Source organism: Homo sapiens, chromosome 11 (genome assembly GCF_000001405.40).
Source record: "Homo sapiens chromosome 11, GRCh38.p14 Primary Assembly".
Taxonomy (NCBI): domain Eukaryota; kingdom Metazoa; phylum Chordata; class Mammalia; order Primates; family Hominidae; genus Homo; species Homo sapiens.
Window position 1 is genome coordinate 93,373,295 of NC_000011.10, and position 19,940 is coordinate 93,393,234.

A 19,940-nucleotide genomic window follows, 5' to 3' on the forward strand; every position below is an offset into this window, starting at 1 on the left:
CCCATCACCTGAACAGTTTACACTGTACCCAATTTGTAGTATTTTATCCTTCACCACCCCCAACCCTTTCCCCTGAGTCCCCCAACATCATTCTTATGCCTTTGAAGCCTAATAGCTTAGCTCCTACTTATGAGTGAGAACGTAAGTAGGAGCAATAACAAAATGATGTTTCGTTTTCCATTCCTGAGTTACTTCACTTAGAATAATGGTCTTTAATTCCATCCAGGTTGCTGCAAATGCCATTATTTTGTTTCTTTCTATGGCTGTGTAGTATTCATATATATATACATATATATATACGTATATATATTTATATATGTATATATATACGTATATATATATATATATATATATATACGTATATATATGCCACATTTTCTTTATCCACTCATTGATTGATAGGCATTTGGGCTGGTTCTATATTTTTGCAATTGCAAATTGTGCTGCTATAAACATGCATGTGCAAGTATCTTTTTCATATAATGACTTCTTTTCCTCTGGGTAAATACCTAGTAGTTAGATTGCTGGATCAAATGGTAGATCTACCTTGAGTTCTTTAAGGAATCTCCACATTGTTTTCCTTAGTGGTTATACTAGTTTACATTCCCACCAGCAGGGTAAAAGTGTTACCTTTTCACCACAACCATACCAACATCTATTATTTTTTTGATTATGGCCAGTCTTGCAGGAGTAAGGTGGTATTGCATTGTGGTTTTGATTTGCATTTCCCTGATCATTAGTGACGTTGAGCATTTTTTCATGTGTTTGTTGGCCATTTGTATATCTTCTTTTGAGAATTGTCATTCATGTCCTTAGCCCACTTTTTGATGGGATTGTTTGTTTTTTTCTTCCTGATTTGTTTGATCTCCTTATCAATCCTGGATATTAGTCCTTTGTCAGATGCATAGTTTGTGAAGATTTTCTCCCACTCTGTGGGTTATGTGTTTACTGATTATTTATTTTGCTGTGTAGAAGCTCTTTAGTTTAATTAGGTCCCATCTATGTATCCTTGTTTTTGTTGCATTTGCTTTTGGGTTCTTGGTCATGAAGTCTTTGCCTATGCCAATGTCTAGAAGGGTTTTTCCAACGTTATCTTCTAGAATCTTTATGGTTTCAGGTCTTAGATTTAAGTCTTTGATCCATCTTTAGTTGATTTTTGTATAAAGTGAGAGATAAGGATCCAGCTTCATTCTTCTCCAATTATTCTTGCCAATTATTCCAACACCATTTGTTGAACAGGGTGTTCTTTCCAGACTTTATGTTTTTGTTTGCTTTGTCAAAGATCAGTTGGCTGTAAGTATTTGGGTTTATTTCTGGGTTCTCTATTGTGTTCCATTGGTTTCTGTGCCTATTTTTATACCAGTACCATGCTGTTTTGGTGACTATAGCATTATAGTATAGGGTATTTGGTAATTTGATGCCTCCAGATTTGTTCTTTTTGCTTAGTCATGCTTTAGCTATGCAGGCTCTTTTTTTGGTTCCATATGAATTCTAAGAATTTTTTTCTAATTCAGTGAAGAATTATGGTGGTATTTTGATGGGAATTTCATTGAATTTGAAGATTGATTTTGGGAGTATGGTCATTTTCACAATATTGATTCTACCCATCCATGAGCATGGGATGTGTTTCCATTTGTTTGTGTCATCTGTGATTTTTTTCAGCTGCGTTTTGTAGTTTTCCTTGTAGAGGTTTTTCACATCCTTGGGTAGGTATATTCCTAAGTATTTCTTTTTCTTTTCTTTTTTTTTTTTTTGCACTATTGTAAAAGAGGTTGAGTCTTTATTTGATTTTCAGCTTGGTCACTGTTGGTGTATAGCAGTGCCACTGATTTTTGTACATTGATTTTGTATCCTGAAACTTTACTGAATTCATTTGTCAGTTCTAGGAGCTTTTTGGATGAATCTTTAGAGTTTTCTAGGTATATGATCATGTCATCAGTCAACAGAGATAGTTTGACTTCTTTTTTACTGATTTGGATGCCCTTTATTTCTTTCTCTTGTCTGATTGCTCTGGCTAGGACTTTCAGTACTATGTTGAATAGAAGTGCTGAGAGTGGGCATCCTTGTCTTCTTCCAGTTCTCAGGGAGAATGCTTTCCCCATTCAATATAATGTTGGCTGTGGGTTTGTCGTAGATGGCTTTTATTACCTTAAGGTATGTCCTTTCCATGCCAATTTTGCTGAGGGTTTTAATCATAAAAGGATGCTGGATTTTGTCACATAATTTTTCTGTGTCTATTGAGATGATCATGTGATTTTTGTTTTTAATTCTGTTTATGAGGTGTATTGCATTTATTGACTTGCATATGTTAAACCATCCCTGCATCCCTCATTTGAAACCCACTTGATCATGGTGGATTATCTTTGTGATATGCTGTTGGATTCAGTTAGCTAGTATTTTGTCCAGGGTTTTTGCATCTATGTTCATCAGGGATATTGGTCTGTAGTTTTCTTTTTCTCTTATATCCTTTCCTGGTTTTGATATTAGGGTGATACTGGCTTCACAGAATGATTGAAGGTAGGATTCCCTCTTTCTCTATCTTTTAGAATAGTGTCAGTAAAATTGGTACCAATTCTTCTTTGAATGTTTGATAGAATTTAGCTGTGAATCTGTCTGGTCCTGGACTTTTTTGTTGGCAATTTTCATATTACTGTTTTGTTTTGTTTTGTTTTTTAAACAGTGTCTCACTCTGTTCCCCAGGCTGGAGTGCAGTGGTGCAGTTTCGGCTCACTGCAACCTCTGCCTCCCTGGTTCAAGCAATTCTTCTACCTCAGCCTCCTGAGAGCTGGGTTTACAGGTGCCTACCACCACACCCAGGTAATTTTTGTATTTTTTAGTGTATTTTTGTGTTGTTGGCCAGGCTGGTCTCGAACTCCTGAGCTCAAATGATCTGCCCGCCTTGGCCTGCCAAAGCGCTGGCATTACAGGCATGAGCCACTGCACCCGGCCTATATTACCATTTCAATCTCCCTGCTTGCTCTCGTTCTTTTCAGAGTTTCTGTTTCTTCTAGGAGTTTAATCTAGGAGGGTTTAATCTAGGAGGGTTTACTCTGGGAGGGTTGTATATTTCCGGGAATTTGTCATCTTTTCTAAGTTTTCTACTTTGTGCTTGTAAAGGTGTTCATAGTAGCCTTGAATGATCTTTTGTATTTCAGTAGTATCGGTTTGAATATCTCCTGTTTCATTTCTAATTGAGCTTATTTGGATCTTCTCTCTTCTTTTCTTGGTTAATCTTGCTAATGGTCTATTGATTTCATTCACCTTTTCAAAGAGCCATCTTTTTGTTTCATTATCTGTTGAATTTTTTTTGTTTCAATTTCATTTAGTTCTGCTCTGATCTTTGTTATTTATTTTCTTTTATTGGGTTTGAGTTTGGTTTGTTATTGTTTCTCTGGTGTCTTGAAGTGTGATCTTAGGTTTGCTATTTGAGTTCTTTCAGACTTTTTGATGTAGACATTCAATGCTATGAACTTTCCTCTTAGTACTGCTTTTGCTGTATCCCAGAGGTTTTGATAGGCTGTGTTACTATTATCGTTCAGTTCAAAGAATTTTTTAATTTCCATCTTGATTTCATTGTTGACCCAATGATCATTTGGGAGCAGGTTATTTAATTTCCATGTATTTGCATGGTTTTAAGAGTTCCTTTTGGAGTTGATTTCCAATTTTATCCCACTGTGGTCTGAGAGAGTACTTGCTATAATTTCAGTTTTCTTAAATATGTTGAGACTTGTTTTGTAGCCTATCTTATGTTCTTTCTTGTAGAATGTTCCATGTGCTGATGAATAGAATATATATTTGCAGTTGTTGCATAGACTGTAAATATCTGTTAGCTCCATTTGTTCTAGGGTATCATTTAAGTCCATTGTTTCTTGGTTGACTTTCTGTCTTGATGACCTGTCTAGTGCTGTCAGTGGAGTATTGAAGTCCCCCACTATTACTGTGTTGCTGTCTATCTCATTTCTTAGGTCTAGTGGTAATTGTTTTATAAATTTGGGAGCTCCAGTGTTAGGTGCATATATGTTTAGGATTGTGATATTTTCCTGTTGGACTAGTCCTTTTATCATTATATAATGTCCCTTTTTGCCTTTTTTAACTGTTGTTGCTTTAAAATCTGTTTTATCTGATGTAAGAGTAGCTGCTCCTGCTTGCTTTTGGTGTCCATTTGCATGGAATATCTTTGTCTGCCCCTTTACCTTAAGTTTGTGTGAGTCCTTATGTGTCAGGTGAGTCTCTTGAAGACAGCAGGTACTTGGTTGGTGAATTCTTATCCATTCTGCCACTCTGTATCTTTTAAGTGGAGCATTTAGGCCATTTACATTCAACGTTAGTATTTGGAAGTGAGGTACTATTATATTCATCATGCTAGTTGTTGCCTGAATACTTATTTTTTTCATTGCATTATGGTTTTATAGGTCCTGTGAGATGTATGCTTCAAGGAGGTTCTATATTGGTGTATGTTGAGGATTTCTTTCAAGATTTAGAGTGCCTTTTAATGTTGGCTTGGTAGTGGTGAATTCTCTCAGCATTTGTTTGTCTGGAAAAGACTGTATCTTTCCTTCATTTATGAAGCTTAGTTTCACTGGATACAAAATTCTTAGCTGATAATTGTTTCATTTAAGGAGCCTAAAGATAGGATCCCAATCCCTTTCAGCTTGTAGGATTTCTGCTGAGAAATCTGCTGTTAATCTGATAGGTTTTTTTTTTAATAGGTTACCTGATGCTTTTGCCTCACAGCTCTTAAGATTCTTTCCTTTATCTTGACTTTAGATCACCTGACGACTATGTGCCTAGGCAATGATCTTTTTGTGATGAATTTCCCAGGTGTTCTTTGAGCTTCTTGTATTTGGATGTCTAGATCTCTAGCAAGGCCAGGGAAGTTTTCCTCAATTATTCCCTCAAATATGTTTTCCAAACATTTAGATTTCTCTTCTTCCTCAGGAACACCAATTATTCTCAGGTTTGGTTGCTTAACATGATCCCAAACTTCTTGGAGGCTTTGTTCATTTTTTTAAATTCTTTTTTGTCTTTGTCAGATTGGGTTAATTTGAAAGCCTTGTTTTCAAGCTCTGAAGTTCTTTCTTCTGCTTGTCCAGTTCTATTACTGAGACTTTCCAGTGTATTTTTGAATTTCTCTAAGTGTGTCCTTCATTTCCAGAAGTTGTGATTTTTTTAATTTATGCTATCTATTTCTCTTTTTTGATTTCTTAAAGTTGGTATTCACCTTTCTCTGGTGCCTCCTTTAGTAGGTTAATAATTGACCTTCTGAATTATTTTTCTGGCAATTCAGAGATTTCTCCTTGTTTTTGATCCATTGCTGGCGAGCTAGTGTGATCTTTCAGGGTTGCTGAAGAACCTTGTTTTGTCATATTACCAGAATTGTTTTTCTGGTTCCTTCTTATTTGGGTAGACTATGTCAGATGGAAGATCTGGGGCTCAAGGGCTGTTGTTCAGACTCTTTTGTCCCATGGGGTGCTCCCTTGATGTGGTGCTCTCCCACTTTCCCTAGGGATGGATTCTCTTGGCCCTCCTGGCATGTTCCTACAGTAGTTCTTGGAGCAAAAGTTCATGATGTGTCTCTCCAGACACTGCTATGTCTGTCCAAGTGGGAGCTGCAAGTTAGTCCTGCCTCCCATCTGCCATTTTTCCCTGCTTTTTCTCTTCTTTAAGTCTTTTTGGATTTGATCCATACAAATCAATGTTCTGCTCAGGCTCATTTTGCTCTGTTCTATTTAGTTTGCCTGAAACATATTTCACTAGTAGGCCCAGTTATCAAGTCTGGTTCTACCCTTCAGTGAAGTTCACCTTCTTCACTAACATCAGTTCCTTTTAATATCCCCAAAAATAATTCTATTGGGGCCATTTACAGGATCCAAGAGCGGCCCTTTTTCAGGCTGAGAGTCAGCTTTTGTTTTTGGCTCACTTGTGGGATAGAAGTGGCTACTTTTACACCTGTATTCTTTGGGGAAAAAAAGATCCTCTGTACCTCTTTCTTGGCAGTATGACTGACTTTCTCTATAATGCTTTCCTTGATCAACTCCACCTTTCTCCTCCTCAGAACTTTATTGTTTATATTTTTCCAGGAAGTAGAATGGAGAATCTTGTTAAAAGAAAAAATGCTGCAAACAGGGAAAGACTGTACATTGAGGAACATTATTATAACATTCCTAGCTAGGATCACCATCTCTACTCTCCCTCCAAATAAATGCCTTAAGCCTATGCTTCTCACACTTATCACAATGACACACTCCTGGTGGCAAGGAGAGGGAGAGTGCATGCAACTTGGGAGTCAATGTGTAGCAGGAAGTAAGAAGAATCAAACCAGCTGCTGGCCAAGGTTGCCCTGTCATTTACTGATATTATTTAATTAACTTACTCTTCTGACCCAAGTTCAACAGGATGTAACTTACCACACTTCTTCCTACTCCGCAAAGATTTCTACAGACTTCTAGGGGCTTACATGCACACCTGAGAAGGCTCTGTGGGTTGCCTGGGCTAAGGAAAGTCCATGTTACCTATTTTGATTTTTTCTTATGGTATTTATATATTAATGTACTTAATAATTTATTAATGTTCCTGAATATAACTAACAAAATTAAAATCCAGCTACTCATAGAAGTCAATATAATTGTGAAGTCTTTTTACTTATACTAAAGGTTGCAAAACAGCAGTACTCATTGCCTAATTTTTATGACTTTCATTTAAATTAGTGGCTCTATACTGCAGTGATTTTTCCTTCCACGTGATATTTGGCAATGCCTGGATACATGTTTGGTCACCACAACAAGGAAAGGAGTGTGACCAGCATCTAGTGGGTAGAGGCCAGAGATGCTGTTAAACACCCTACAGTGCACAAGACAACCCTACAACAGAGAATTGCCCAGTCCCAAATGTCAATAGTGCTAAAATTGATCAACCCTTTTGTAATTTTGAAGTGAGTCATTTTTCTCATATTCTTCACTAGTAATTCTCTAACTTCATTTTGTGATGTTTTCCGTAGCTAATAACAACTACCTGTGTGGCTTGCATTTGTGACTCACATATTTTTAGTGGATAGAACTTGATTGAGAAATTTCATCCTGCTCTGTTTTTTTGGGTTTTGTTTTGTTTTGTTTTGTTTTGTTTTTGAGACGGAGACTGGCTCTGTTGCCCAGGCTGGAGTGCAGTGGTGCAATCTCGGCTCACTGCAAGCTCCACCTCCCAGGTTCACGCCATTCTTCTGCCTCAGCCTCCCTAGTAGCTGGGACTACAGGTGCCGGCCACCATGCTCGGCTATTTTTTTTTTGTATTTTTAGTAGAGACGGGGTTTCACCAAGTTAGGCAGGATGATCTCAATCTCCTGACCTTGTGATCCACCCACCTTGGCCTCCCAAAGTGCTGGGATTACAGGAGTGAGCCACCGCGCCCGGCCAGCTAATAACAACTTTTAATGTGACTGATATTTATACTGATTTCTATGAGGAAGTTTACCAATATTATTTTTTTACAAGTATTTGTTCATTTAAAAAAAATTAGTTATCCTTGGATCTAGGACCATTATTAAATTTGAACTAAGAATCTGCATTTTATATTTTACAAAAGAATCACATGTATTAAAAATCAAATCAAATTATTCTGGACCATGTTTTATGAAAAACAAAATCTGTTGTAGAACTAATGAAAAGATTTTGAAAAGTAATTTGGTTCAAAAACTTTAAGATGTCTGAAAGATTTCTACTCTCAGGAAAACACTAAGTATTTTTCATCCATTTAGGTAAAAATCCTGAATATATTGCATTAATTTAGCTTTTCCTCTGTTTCACTTCCAAATTTTACTCACGTTTCATTCTTTAGGATAAATCTAAATGAAAATACATCAATTATTTATATTTGATAGTTGATTTGAAGGTTTAGAATCACTGCTCCTCTCAAACCATTAGGCAAACCTCTAACTAAACAGATGGGCTTTAAACATGTTTTACAAAATTTATATTTTACCAAATGGGAATAATTAGAGGTAACTGATACTATAACCAATATATGTATTTGGAAAGAAGTTTCTCTTCCCTTTTCACAAAACTGTCGTGACAGTGTTCCACATCATACACATAAATGCAAAAAGACAACAATTTACATCTGAATTACTGTCATTTCTTATATGTAAAATTCTCTTTGTTTATGGCACACTTTAATAGCAGATGCATCTCAATTTTCACATGAATCACATCTCATTTGTCTTTCCACAACCTTGAAATGTGTCAGTATGCTTATTAATTTCATTGCATATATTTATTCATTATGCTACACTCTACATGTTTTTTAAATGTGCAATATTTTTCCTGGGAAGTTAATGACAAAAATAGATTGCTCTGCATTTTTCTAATATCTATGACAGAAAAGCTAACCTTTTTTTGTTTGCTTGTTAATGTGTCATTAAGGTGCTAGAGCAACATTGTCCAGTAGTAATATAATGTAAGCCACAAATATAATTTAAATTTTCCTACTAGCCGAATTAAAAGAAGTCAAGAAAAATGAGTGAAACTAACATATCATAACAATATATTTTATTCAACCCACTATATATCCAAAATATTATCATTCTAAAATGTAATCAACATATAAAAAGTTACTGAGGTTTTTACTTTTTTTCATACTAAGTCTTCAAAATCTGGTGTGTATTTTATGCTTCCAACATATCTCATATTACATGCTAAGTATTCATCTGAAGTACCTGATCTGTGTTTAGATCCCATACAATTTTACAGTTAAAAAAGTTGATTTACATACTTAAGTTGTTCCAAACAAACTTGAAAATGTTCCAGTAACTGAGTCAAGTACCAAAGAATCATTTTCCTCAATATTTGCACCCACATTCACAAATAATTGATTTGACTTTCATGCAGAAGCATACTAATTTTAAAACTACATCTCAGTTAAATCAATTCACTAATTCTTGTGTTAATTTAGTATTAATCTTGAATTCAAGGTCAAAAAACAATTTTAGATTTATCAATATCAAGAAAGCCTTCAAATTTTTCTTGTACTTTTGCAGCCAATTTACATGCTGTCATTTGTAAGTAAAATACTTTGCATATTCATTCACATGTCAAATCATTATTACTCATTTGTATTATGAAAAGTTTGAATTTTAACATATATGCTTGTACCTGTGTAGTTAGGTCATGAATAAGCTTTTTTCCTGTCAATGGTGTCTCCAAATTTCACTCTTACAGATATTATTTTCTAATAACAGTAAACAAATATATTCTATTATTACCATATTTTACAGAGTTTCAGCTAACCCTAGCCTGTGGCAACACTATATTTTATAGGCCTAAGGTTAGAGCTTTTTGTGGACTCCCCTTCCCCAAGTGAAAGCAGATGCACTTTTCTACATGCAACTTCATATTTGATTGCTCCCTAGTGGCAAATTTGCAAACCAGGGAGCCCACATAGTGCCTTCTTCAACTGGGCAAAGTTATGGGAGACATTCACATTAAGTCAATTTGTATTTCTGATTGGTAATCTATTGTTTTGCATTTCTTTTATTATTGAAATGTTTAATCTTGCCTGAAAAATCTCCACTGTTCAAAACGGAGGCTTTATCCAAACAAGTCTTTATCCAAACAAGTCTATTAAGTCACCAATTTGAATCTTTTTATATTTATTTCCAAGGTGGCTGGGAAGTTCTGGGGCTAAAGTAATGCTACTATGCCCCTCACTGAACACAGGCCTCCTGGAAAACAGCATATATTTAAGGCTTGGTAAAAATAAATTATCTGGGAACTCATTATATCCTATATATTCTATACAATTATTCTTCTAGGCTTTGTGAACTTCTGTATAAGAATTAATAAATAAGAAAGCATATGTCCACATAAGAGCTTATACATTAATTTTCATAACAGCATTATTCATAATAATCAAAAAGTAGAAACAACCCAAATGTCCATCAACTGATGAATAGATAAACAAAATGTGGTATATCCACATAGTGGAACATTATTCAGCCATAAACAGGAATCAACCACTGATACATGCTACAACATGGATGAACCTTGAAAGCATTATGCTACATTAAAGAGGGCAGTCACAAAAGGCCACATAGTGTATGACACCATTTGTATGAAACATCTAGAATAGGCAATTCCATAGAGATAGAACATAGATTAGTGGTTGCTAGGAGCTGGAGGAAGGGGAAAATGGGGAGTGACTGTTAATGAGTATCAGGTTTCCTTTGGGGATGATGAAAATGCTCTGGAATAAAGTAGTGGTGATGTTCAACTTTGTGACTAAATTGAAAACTGCTGGATTGTACACTTTAAATGGGCGAATTTATGGTATGTGGATTATATTTCAATGAATATTATTAATAATTCAATAATATTGATTATATTTCAATGAATATTCAGTATATCTATATATTAAGAATTATTGAACAAACAATTTTTTAAAATATAGTGTTTTCTATAGCCTTTACTAGCAGAGAAGACCCTTGCCCTTAGAACCTCCCATCCTGTCTTTACCAATACACTAGAGGTCTATTTAACTTTGAGTGGAAGGGATTATTTTTTCATCCTGAATGTTCTAATTGGACTAGGAGTCAAAAGATCTGGATTTTCCTCTTCCAAAATCTGGTAGTTATGAGTTGTGTAACTTTGGATCAAGTCTGGCATTCAATTTCCTCATCTGTAAAAATGGCAATGGATTTGATGACATAAGTCAGGCATTTTTTAAAGACATTAATTTCCTTGTATAATTGTGTGGAAGGGACCTGATGATATTAAAAGACTCTTCCATTGCTGTCTCCTAGAGAACAGCCAAGTACTGCTGCAGAAAATCACCCAACAGGCCATGGTCCCCAACCTCAAATGAGCACTCAACACTGCCCAGCAATCCGGCTTTTTTTCTCCAAGTAGCTAATTCTTTCATTGCCATTGTAAGCCATTTAAACTCTTCACCACTCTCAAAAATCACTCCTATACCCTGCACTTCTCCTTCTACTGTTAGAACATGATGTTACTTTTTACTTCACAGAGAAAATAGAAGCCAAGAGATAGCCAGTCTCTTAATATCCCCTTAGCTAAATGCATAAACTTGTCTGCATTCCATCTTCCTTCCTTCCTGTTACAGAGAGGAGGGCCTTACTTTTGCTTTAGGCAATTCTCCCAATGTGCTTTGAGGGTCATCCTATCCACCTTCTTAGGAACTTGACACCACTCCTTTTACCTCTACTCTCTTCTAATGGGTCCTTGCCAACAACTGCTAACCTAGTTCCAGCTTCTTTTATTAACAAAATAAAACATTGAACCCAGAGGATTGCTGGTATTTCCAGTTACTGACTAAAGAATAGCTGCCATTGGGCAAGGGTTGAATCACAGTTTATAATTCATTTTGTTGGCCAGCTTTGCCATTAGCTTATTCTTGATTATTATCTTTTTACAATTTGAAAGTATTTGTATTAATTAAAATTTCATGCATTGTACTTTCTTCATACTTTTATGTTTCATTCTTTCATATTCACACTCAGTGTCATATTTGTGTGATGATTTGATTATTCTTTGTCTTTGCCACTAGATTGTAAGTTCACTGAGAACAGGTTCTGTGTCTGTATCCCCAGAGCACCTAATAAAAACTCAGTAAATATTTGTTAGAAAAAATGAATGAAGGAGGCCAGGCGCAGTGGCTCACGCCTGTAATCCCAGCACTTTGGGAGGCCAAGGTGGGAGAATCACAAGGTTAGGAGTTTGAGACCAGCCTGATCAACATGGTGAAACCCCATCTCTACTAAAAATATAAAAATTAGCTGGGCATGGTGGCACGAGCCTTTAAACCCAGCTACTCAGGAGGTTAAGGCAGGAGAATTGGTTGAACCCGGGAGGCAGTCGCAATGAGCCAAGATCGTGCCACTGCACTCCAGCCTGGGCAACAGAGTGAGACTCCATCTCAGAAAAAAAGAAAAGAAAACAAAAATGAAGGAATGGAATTCTATGAGACAGAACAAGCAAAGGACTAAATATCAGTTTGTTTAAAATTAGGCTGGTTTATAGATGTTAAATATTTTTAAATGCATTGTACGTTATGATAACCAACAATGAGCATGAAATTTTTTGATGTTTTTATTCAGGCCATGGAAGCAGGTCTCTCAGAGGTAAAAAGTGAGTTACAGTCACGTGATGATCTCTTGAGAATTATAGAAATGGAACGATTGCAATTACACAGAGAATTATTAAAAATAGGAGAGTGCCAAAATGCTCAAGGAAATAAAACAAGGTATAATCTTTATATTTGACAATCTGAGAGAACTGTTCAAAACATGATGTTTGAATGTTTTTAAGAGTTTTATATTTGAAATGAGAATATAAAGTCTATTTTGTATTAACATGTTAATTAGTGGGTAATATTAAATATTAAAAATAAAATTTATGGTTATTTCATTTTCAAAATTAACATCTTCACTTACCTAGAAAATTATATCATGTCCTGATTTATGGATATTTCTGTCACACTGAGTCAGACCTGGTGGCTCCTAGCACTTTGGAAGGCCGAGGTGGGAGGACAATTTGAGCCCAGGATTTCAAGACAAGCCTTAGGCAACATAGTGAGACCCTGACTCTTCAAAAAAATTTTTTATTACCTGGGCATGGGGGCACACACCTGTAGTCCCATCTACTTGGGAGGCTGAGCTGGGAGGGTCGCTTGAGCCTGGAAGGTCAAGGTTGCAGTGAGCTGTGATCGTGCCACTGTACACCAGCCTGGGCAACAGAGATCCTGTTTCAAAAAAAAAAAAGATATTATACAAAAATAGTATAGAACTGGTATTCAATTATGTATACTCAGAGAAATAAGATTTATTCTATATTTTTAAATGCCTTTGTTTTGATTGCCTATACCTGATGTCAACATTTTCACTTGTACATATTGTATTTATTTTGGCCACCAAACTCGCCATCTTGTCTGTTCCATTGAGGGTTCTTCTTAAAACAGATTTTTTTTTCTCTTTTAAAATCAGACAGATATTGTATATTCCATAAACACAAAGGAAATCAGACAGATATTGTATATTCCATAAACACAAACAAAATGGGACTGCTGAGGATTGTTAAATGTTTGTGTGTGTGAATAGACAGTTTGACTGCTTTAATAGTTCATTGATGCTCTTATTCTCATAGAACTTGAATCTTTCTCAAAATCAGAAAGCTAATGCCAGATCAATGATAGGATTTTAAAAATTGAATAGCCAAATAGGGATGCTTTATTGAAAGATTGTTATATTGTTTTAAAGGCAATAATTATTTCTTCAAAGTTGTGAGACCTTCAAAGTTGTGAGACCTGCTAGCATTTCTTTGAGGTCTATGCTTAATAACAAATGGCAACTTAAGATCCCTAAAATGACCTATTTGTGTGTCTCACCAAGGATGGTGACAGAATGCCTATTAGCCAATCTGCATTATCGAATGCTCTGTATACAAGATGTATACTATCATCACTGATTACTAATCAATCTGATATTTATTACATGTAGTGCTGTTCCAGTATGGTGAGTAATGTCTTCACATGAAGAAAATATATTCCTAAAAACATAAGACATTTCACAGAAGAGCACACCAATCAACCCATGTCTAGCTCTGGCTTTGTGAAGAGCATTGTAGGTACTTTTTATGGTGCTCTTAAGACCCATGCTGAATTCCAAACAGTGCCAACAGCCCTTCAATACACTATTTGATCTAAAATCTTGCACTTATTTATATATTTGGCCAGTAAAAACTTTTTTGTTCTGCCTGTTTACCATCCTCTATTTAACTTGGCATTTATTTTGGTCTCCAGACTACAGCTTTCTTATCCTAGAATTCAGTTCTAGAATTCTGAGATTTGATGAAAAGGTATAAGTTTAACTTTTCACAACTTCCATTGTATTTTAGAATTCTTAGCCTTCATCTTTTCCACTAAAAGAGTCTAATTTTTTTAGTTTGTTCTCATATGAATGCTGTTCTATCAGCTTTATTGTTTTGGTTTATTTTATTTAGACTGTTGCTTCTTTGTAGTTGTATCAAAGTGAAATACCCCAGACTACTGATAATAGATGCATAGTAGTTTTATAAAAGTAGCATGGTAATGTTCTTATTCATTTTCAGAAACTTTCTCAATAATGCTAAGCTTTTGTTAGCTTTTTCTATTTTTTTTTAGTTGTAGAAGCACCCTGGGTTGATATGTTCTGAGAGTTATTAAACTAATTTCATACTCTTGTTCTACATGACAAATAATAGTTCCCTTATACATGTACATTAGCATTTTATATTATCATGATTACGGTTTTCTTCTATTCACTTGTCCACATTGGAGTTTGACATTTGTTTCATTCACTCACTGAATTTTGCAAGACCACCATGAGGATTTTAGCATTCAATTCAGCATTCTACTTCCTGAAATTGCTTAGGAAGAATTAAAAAATATGGAAATTTTTCACTCATTTCAAATTATAGGAAATAATGAAAACTTAAGACTGATCCTGAAATAATATTTTAGGAGAATATTGGATAAAATGGAAAATGCTCACAATATATTACTAAGTAGGAAACAAAAGGACACTGAAAAATAATGTGTATAGTATGTTCTAATTATATGGGAAGTGTATATTTCTTTGCACACATATATGCATAGGGAAAAATATATTTACCGCACATAAAAATGCTAATGATGGTTTTTCCTGAATGTTAACATTACAGCAGTATATTATACTCTGATATACTTTGTTATCCACAGTTAACATATATATTTGATAATCACAAAAAAAGCAATCTAGTCTAGATACATGTAACTCAGGGATATCACTACCAACTTAATACCTTTTATAACAGATCCTCTATTTTCAATCTTTAAATTAGCAATTTCTTTATCATTACTCATATTTGGGTTTTTTATTTGTGTGGTTGAAATTTCTGAAGGTGTGAAATCTTCTCAAAAGTTATCTGGAAACCTAAAATTGTACTCACAAGTGGATATGTTCCTCAAAACAACAGACTCCTCCAGAATAGTCAAGCCTGACTTCCAGTAGAAAGCATGCTGCTTCCCCTACCTGGTTATCTTTATTTTTGTGTTTTTGTGATTTTTATTTCACTGGTTTGTCTCATATGAAAGTGAACATTATCTGCTTAGACATCTTCAAACCTCCTGTGGGTATTATACTCTTTATACTAGTTTCTGCTTTTCTCCTCTAATATTAATATGTGGTTGCAATTCCACTTTATAAATTAAGCAGCCAAAGAATAGATGTATTTGAGTACTCTCTGGTTAGACTGTCAGAGTTAATGATGTTTTATCTCTTTTATAGAACAGTTGCTCCCCTTAGACTTCTCATGACATAGTTCCTTTCCACAATACATTAGCAAGTTGGGTGTGTTTCCTTTTTTTAAATGGGTTACCAAGCTATTTTATTATAGCATACAGTCTTTTCTTTTTTCCCAAAATCTTATCTACATATGCAATCCCAGTATTCTGCCAATTTTTAATGTATAATTGAAATTCCTTATTAATTGCTTCCTTTCTTCCATTGAAACCATTTGCACTTAAAGATGTAAATACTTATGGGATCTGAATGTATTAGAACTTGCAATTTCTGTAACTAAAAATGTTTCCAACAAAGTAATGATCTATCTCCGCAGCCTGTAATGGTCTAAATTAACAATATAATCGTTACAATTTATCAAGTTAAGCTTAATTTTAATCATTATTTTATGTTTAATTTGTAGACTTGAATCATCTTATTTGCCTTCTATTAAAGAACCAGAAAGGAAAATAAAAGAGCTGTTTTCAGTGATGCAAGATCAACCAAATCATGAAAAAGAATTGAACAAGGTATGAAAAATAATGAGCTCCATTCTTCCAGGTAGATGTGAACTCTTTACATACAAAGGGAGTTAAAAAAAAATCTTTCTTCTCACTCCCTTTGTTTTCCTTCTGTATTTTTTTGTAAGGTGATAATCTACCAAGCTGCTAATTCCGACATTTTTCTGTGTGAGACTACAAAAAACACAAACCTTAAGTTATCACTGTGCTACTGGGAGACTGCCCACGACACGTGGAGGGTGGAGGGCTGGAGGCTCCATGATAGGTGGCTTATAGCAAGAAAGTTGAGAGCACAGACTCTGGTGCTCAACCACACACGTAAGCTTGGAGAAGTTTCCTGTGCAAGATACTGAGGAGCCTCATTTCTAAGGTGGAAATAATTGGTACCTACCTCATAAGTTTGTGATGAGGATTAAATGAGTTAGCTGCTAACTAGCAGTTAACATGTGCCAGGAACTGTTCTAAGGACTTAAGAAATCCTACTTCATTTATTCCTCACAAACATCTAATGAAATAGGTCTTAATATTACCCTCCTTTTACATTTGAGGAAACTAAGGCACCAAGAAAAAGTAACTTTCTTCAACATTACACAGCTATTAAGTGGCAGAGGCCATGTTTCAATCTAGGCAATCTGGCTCCAGTATCCATACTCTTACCCTAAGGTAAAATCTATGAGATAATGCACTTAAAGTGCTTAAAATAGGATCTAGCTCAGAGGAAGTATCTAGTAAATATTGGCTCAGTAGTTATTTATTGCACCCACATTTTTTCACTGAGCACCTAACATGTGCCAGGAACTCTGCTGGAGCTAGAAATACAAGGATGAGTAAGTCCTGGGCACTGTCCTTAAAGAGCTTGTGGTTCTTTACTCTCCTACAAAGAGTATGATTCTCTCCTCCCTCTAGTACAATCCAGTAATGGCCTTCTTTCTGTGAATTTATCATAGCTATTCTCCACCTCTCTGGTCTTTAGGTTTGAGGATCAGGCAGAATATTTAATGCTATAAAATCTAAACAATTAAAAGTTAAATAAACCTGGGTGTGGCTTTGAATTATCAATTAGTGCACTGCATAGTGCTTGACACACAGTAAATTAAATACTTAGAGAATGAGTTAATATTAAGGCTAAATTTTCCCATAAATATATAGGGTCATAAATTCAGTTGTTTGTACAAATTTAACAAACATTTGTTGAGTATCTAGGAGAACTATAGCTATTCTGCTAATTTCTATAGGAAACACAATAATATGAAAGACAGGTACTGTCTGCCAAAGAGTTGACTGTCAGAGAACTAACAGAGGTTAAGTAGAGAAAAGGTGTTATGAATCAGTGATCATTTTTCATATATTTTGAACACTTTAATGCCATATAATCCCACAAAATTTATTTTGCTGACTTAAAAATATAACTTTGAAAAACTCTTTTTTACTGGTGTCCCCAGTGAATGATAAAAGATTGGTTAAAGCCACCTAAAGTATAGTTACATGATTCTTAACCTCATAGATTTAGATAAAGTAATAAAACTTTGAGTAATATAAAGAATCTACTGACTTTGCACAGTTTTGACATGGTGGGAGAGAGTATGAGGCACAGAATTCTTTATAGACCCTTGGAGGCCACTAAATACCAGAATGCTGTGCAAAAAAAAGGTAACAAATGAATTTTATATAAATAGCTTCCAAGTGGCCGGGCATGGTGGCTCACACCTGTAATTCCAGCACTTTGGGAGGCTGAGGCAGGCAGATCACCAGGTCAGGAGTTTGAGACCAGCCTGACCAACATGGTGAAACCCCGTCTCTACTAAAAATACAAAAATTAGCTGGGCGCGGTGGCAGGCGCCTGTAATCCCAGCTACTCAGGAGGCTGAGGCAGGAGAATTGCTTGAACTCGGGAGGCGGAGGTTGCAGTGAGCCGAGATTGCGCCATGGCACTCCAGCCTGGGCGACAGAGCAAGACTCTGTCTCAGGAAAAAAAAAAAAAAAGCTTCCAAGTGTTTCTGAAGAGCATTTTAATTCTTTTGTAATAAAACTAACAAGAGCTATGTATTATGAATCTTGCAAGTATTTTATTTCTTTTCCTTTTTTCCAGTCTAGAACTGTTTTAGCCATTTATTTTGTGATAACATTCACATTTTCAATAAACCAAAAGTCATTTGGAGTTCAGGTAAATTAGTTTCTTCTTTCATTAAGAAAGAAGTTTTGCAGTATAGTATGTTGTGTTAACATCTAAATATTGTGAAAATAATAAAAATAGTTTACTCCTTTTTCACAGTAGTATATTCATTTTTTTATATTTTAAAAGTTCCATTTTGGCCAGGTGCCGTGGCTCACGCCTGTAATCCCAGCACTTTGGGAGGCCAAGGTGGGCGGATCACGAGGTCAGGAGTTTGAGACCATCCTGGCCAATATGGTGAAACCCTGTCTCTACTAAAAATACAAAAATTAGCCAGGCATGGTGGTGCTCACCTGTAGTCCCAGCTACTCGGGAGGCTGAGGCAGGAGAATCACTTGAACCCGGGAGGTGGAGGTTGCAGTGAACCAAGATTGTGCCACTGCACTCCAGCCTGGGTGACAAAGCAAGACTCCATCTCAAAAAAAAAAAAAAAAAAAAAGTTCCATTTTAAGTGGAACAGGTTAAACTATGCCAAAGGGATGCGATCAGCAAAATCCATACTGGGACAAACTATAGACTGACCGTGTTATTTCATCAAATAAATTGGAAGGTAAAAACTTGGAGACAGAAGAGATTTAAAGGAGATTTGTAATATTGTCCTCCGGGTTAGGATACTTGTGCTCGTGTCTCTTAGTTTCCGCCTTGTTCTCGTTCCTGTGACTCTTTTTTAAAAAAATCTGTTAAATGATGAGGTTCGATCATGTGATTTCTAAGGTCATATCCAACTCTGAAACTCTGAATATGCTGGTAATATGAATAGAATCAGATGAAGGAAGGGTTGGTGGCATAAAGCCTGATGGTGATCACATTTGCCTCTGGACATGTGTACTTTCCATGTTAGGTCACCCCACTCTAAGTGCCATCCCCTAAAACACAGCTTTTTCTGATCTCACTCTAGGTGTCATCCCCTAAAACCCAGATTTTTCCAATCTCTCTGTAGGTGTCAACCCCTAAAACTCAGGTTTTTCCAAATGTGAACCACCTTCCACACCTTCCAGGACCCTTCCCACAGAGGTTGCAGAGCACAATAGTTCACAGGTCCTGGAATTAGACTGCCTTTCACAAGAAATGTGATGTGAAAAGTTATGCACCTTAATTTTCTAATCTGCTAAATACAGTAGTCTGCAAAATAGAGAGACATTGTGGGGATTAAATGAGATGATGCATGTAAACTACTTAGAACACACAAAAAGAGAGGCTTTAAAAAGATATATGAGCCAGTCACAATGAATGGATCATGTTTAGATACTAATTCAATTAAACTTAAACAACATTTATTATATTTTTGAGACAAGCTTAAATTTGAATACTGCCTAGATACTTGATGATATTAAGGAATTCTTAATCTTTACAGACATTGTAATAACATTCTGGCTACATTTAAAAAAAAGAGAGAGCCTTGTTCTTTTAAAGATATATACTGAAATGTTTAAAGGTGAAATGAAAAAAAAAATCCATTTTAAAAAAGTGCCCTGGAGAAAATTCATGTTTCTTTTGTGGCTAGCCTCTACTTAACTCTCCAGCCTTATTTCTCAGAGCAGCTAACTCCTAGCTACCCTAAACTCCTTTTAGTTCACTGAGTGTGCCATGCTTTCACTCACTGAGCTCTTTGCCTGGGATCCCTCCTCCTTCTCCTCCCTCCTCTTCCTCCTCCTCCTCCCTCCTCTTCCTCCTCCTCTTCCTCCTCCTCCGAGCCCTCCTCCTCCTCCTTCTTTCTCCTCCTCCTCCTCTGAGCCCTCCTCCTCCTCCTTCTACTTCTTTCTCCTCCTCCTCCTCCTTCTTCTTCTCTTCCTCCTTCTTTTTTTTTTTTTTTTTTGAGACAGGATCCTGCTGTGTCATTCAGGCTGGAATACAGTGGTGCAATCAGGGCCTACTGCAGCCTAGACCTCCTAGGCTTAAGGGATCCTCCCACCCCAGTGCCCCTTCCACCCGACTAACTGAGACT

At 35.9% G+C, this 19,940-nt stretch overlaps 1 protein-coding gene across 17 annotated transcripts in view; it reads left to right on the forward strand.

Moving 5' to 3' along the window:
- DEUP1 (deuterosome assembly protein 1) overlaps nucleotides 1-19,940 on the forward strand; it is a 108,473-nt gene that overhangs the window by 43,297 nt on the left and 45,236 nt on the right. For 15 of the 17 annotated variants that reach the window (XR_007062456.1, XR_947798.3, XR_007062457.1 and 12 more), the window contains exons 8-9: nucleotides 12,104-12,249; nucleotides 15,726-15,831. Coding sequence is in view for 14 of the 17 variants with exons in the window: in XM_011542631.3 (XP_011540933.1) it covers nucleotides 12,104-12,249; nucleotides 15,726-15,831 (252 nt within the window). In the remaining 3 variants the exon portion in view is untranslated. Of the gene's footprint in view, nucleotides 1-10,180; nucleotides 10,317-12,103; nucleotides 12,250-15,725; nucleotides 15,832-19,940 lie in introns of those variants that run through there. The other 2 variants (XM_011542638.3, XM_011542636.3) reach the window with 2 other exon arrangements.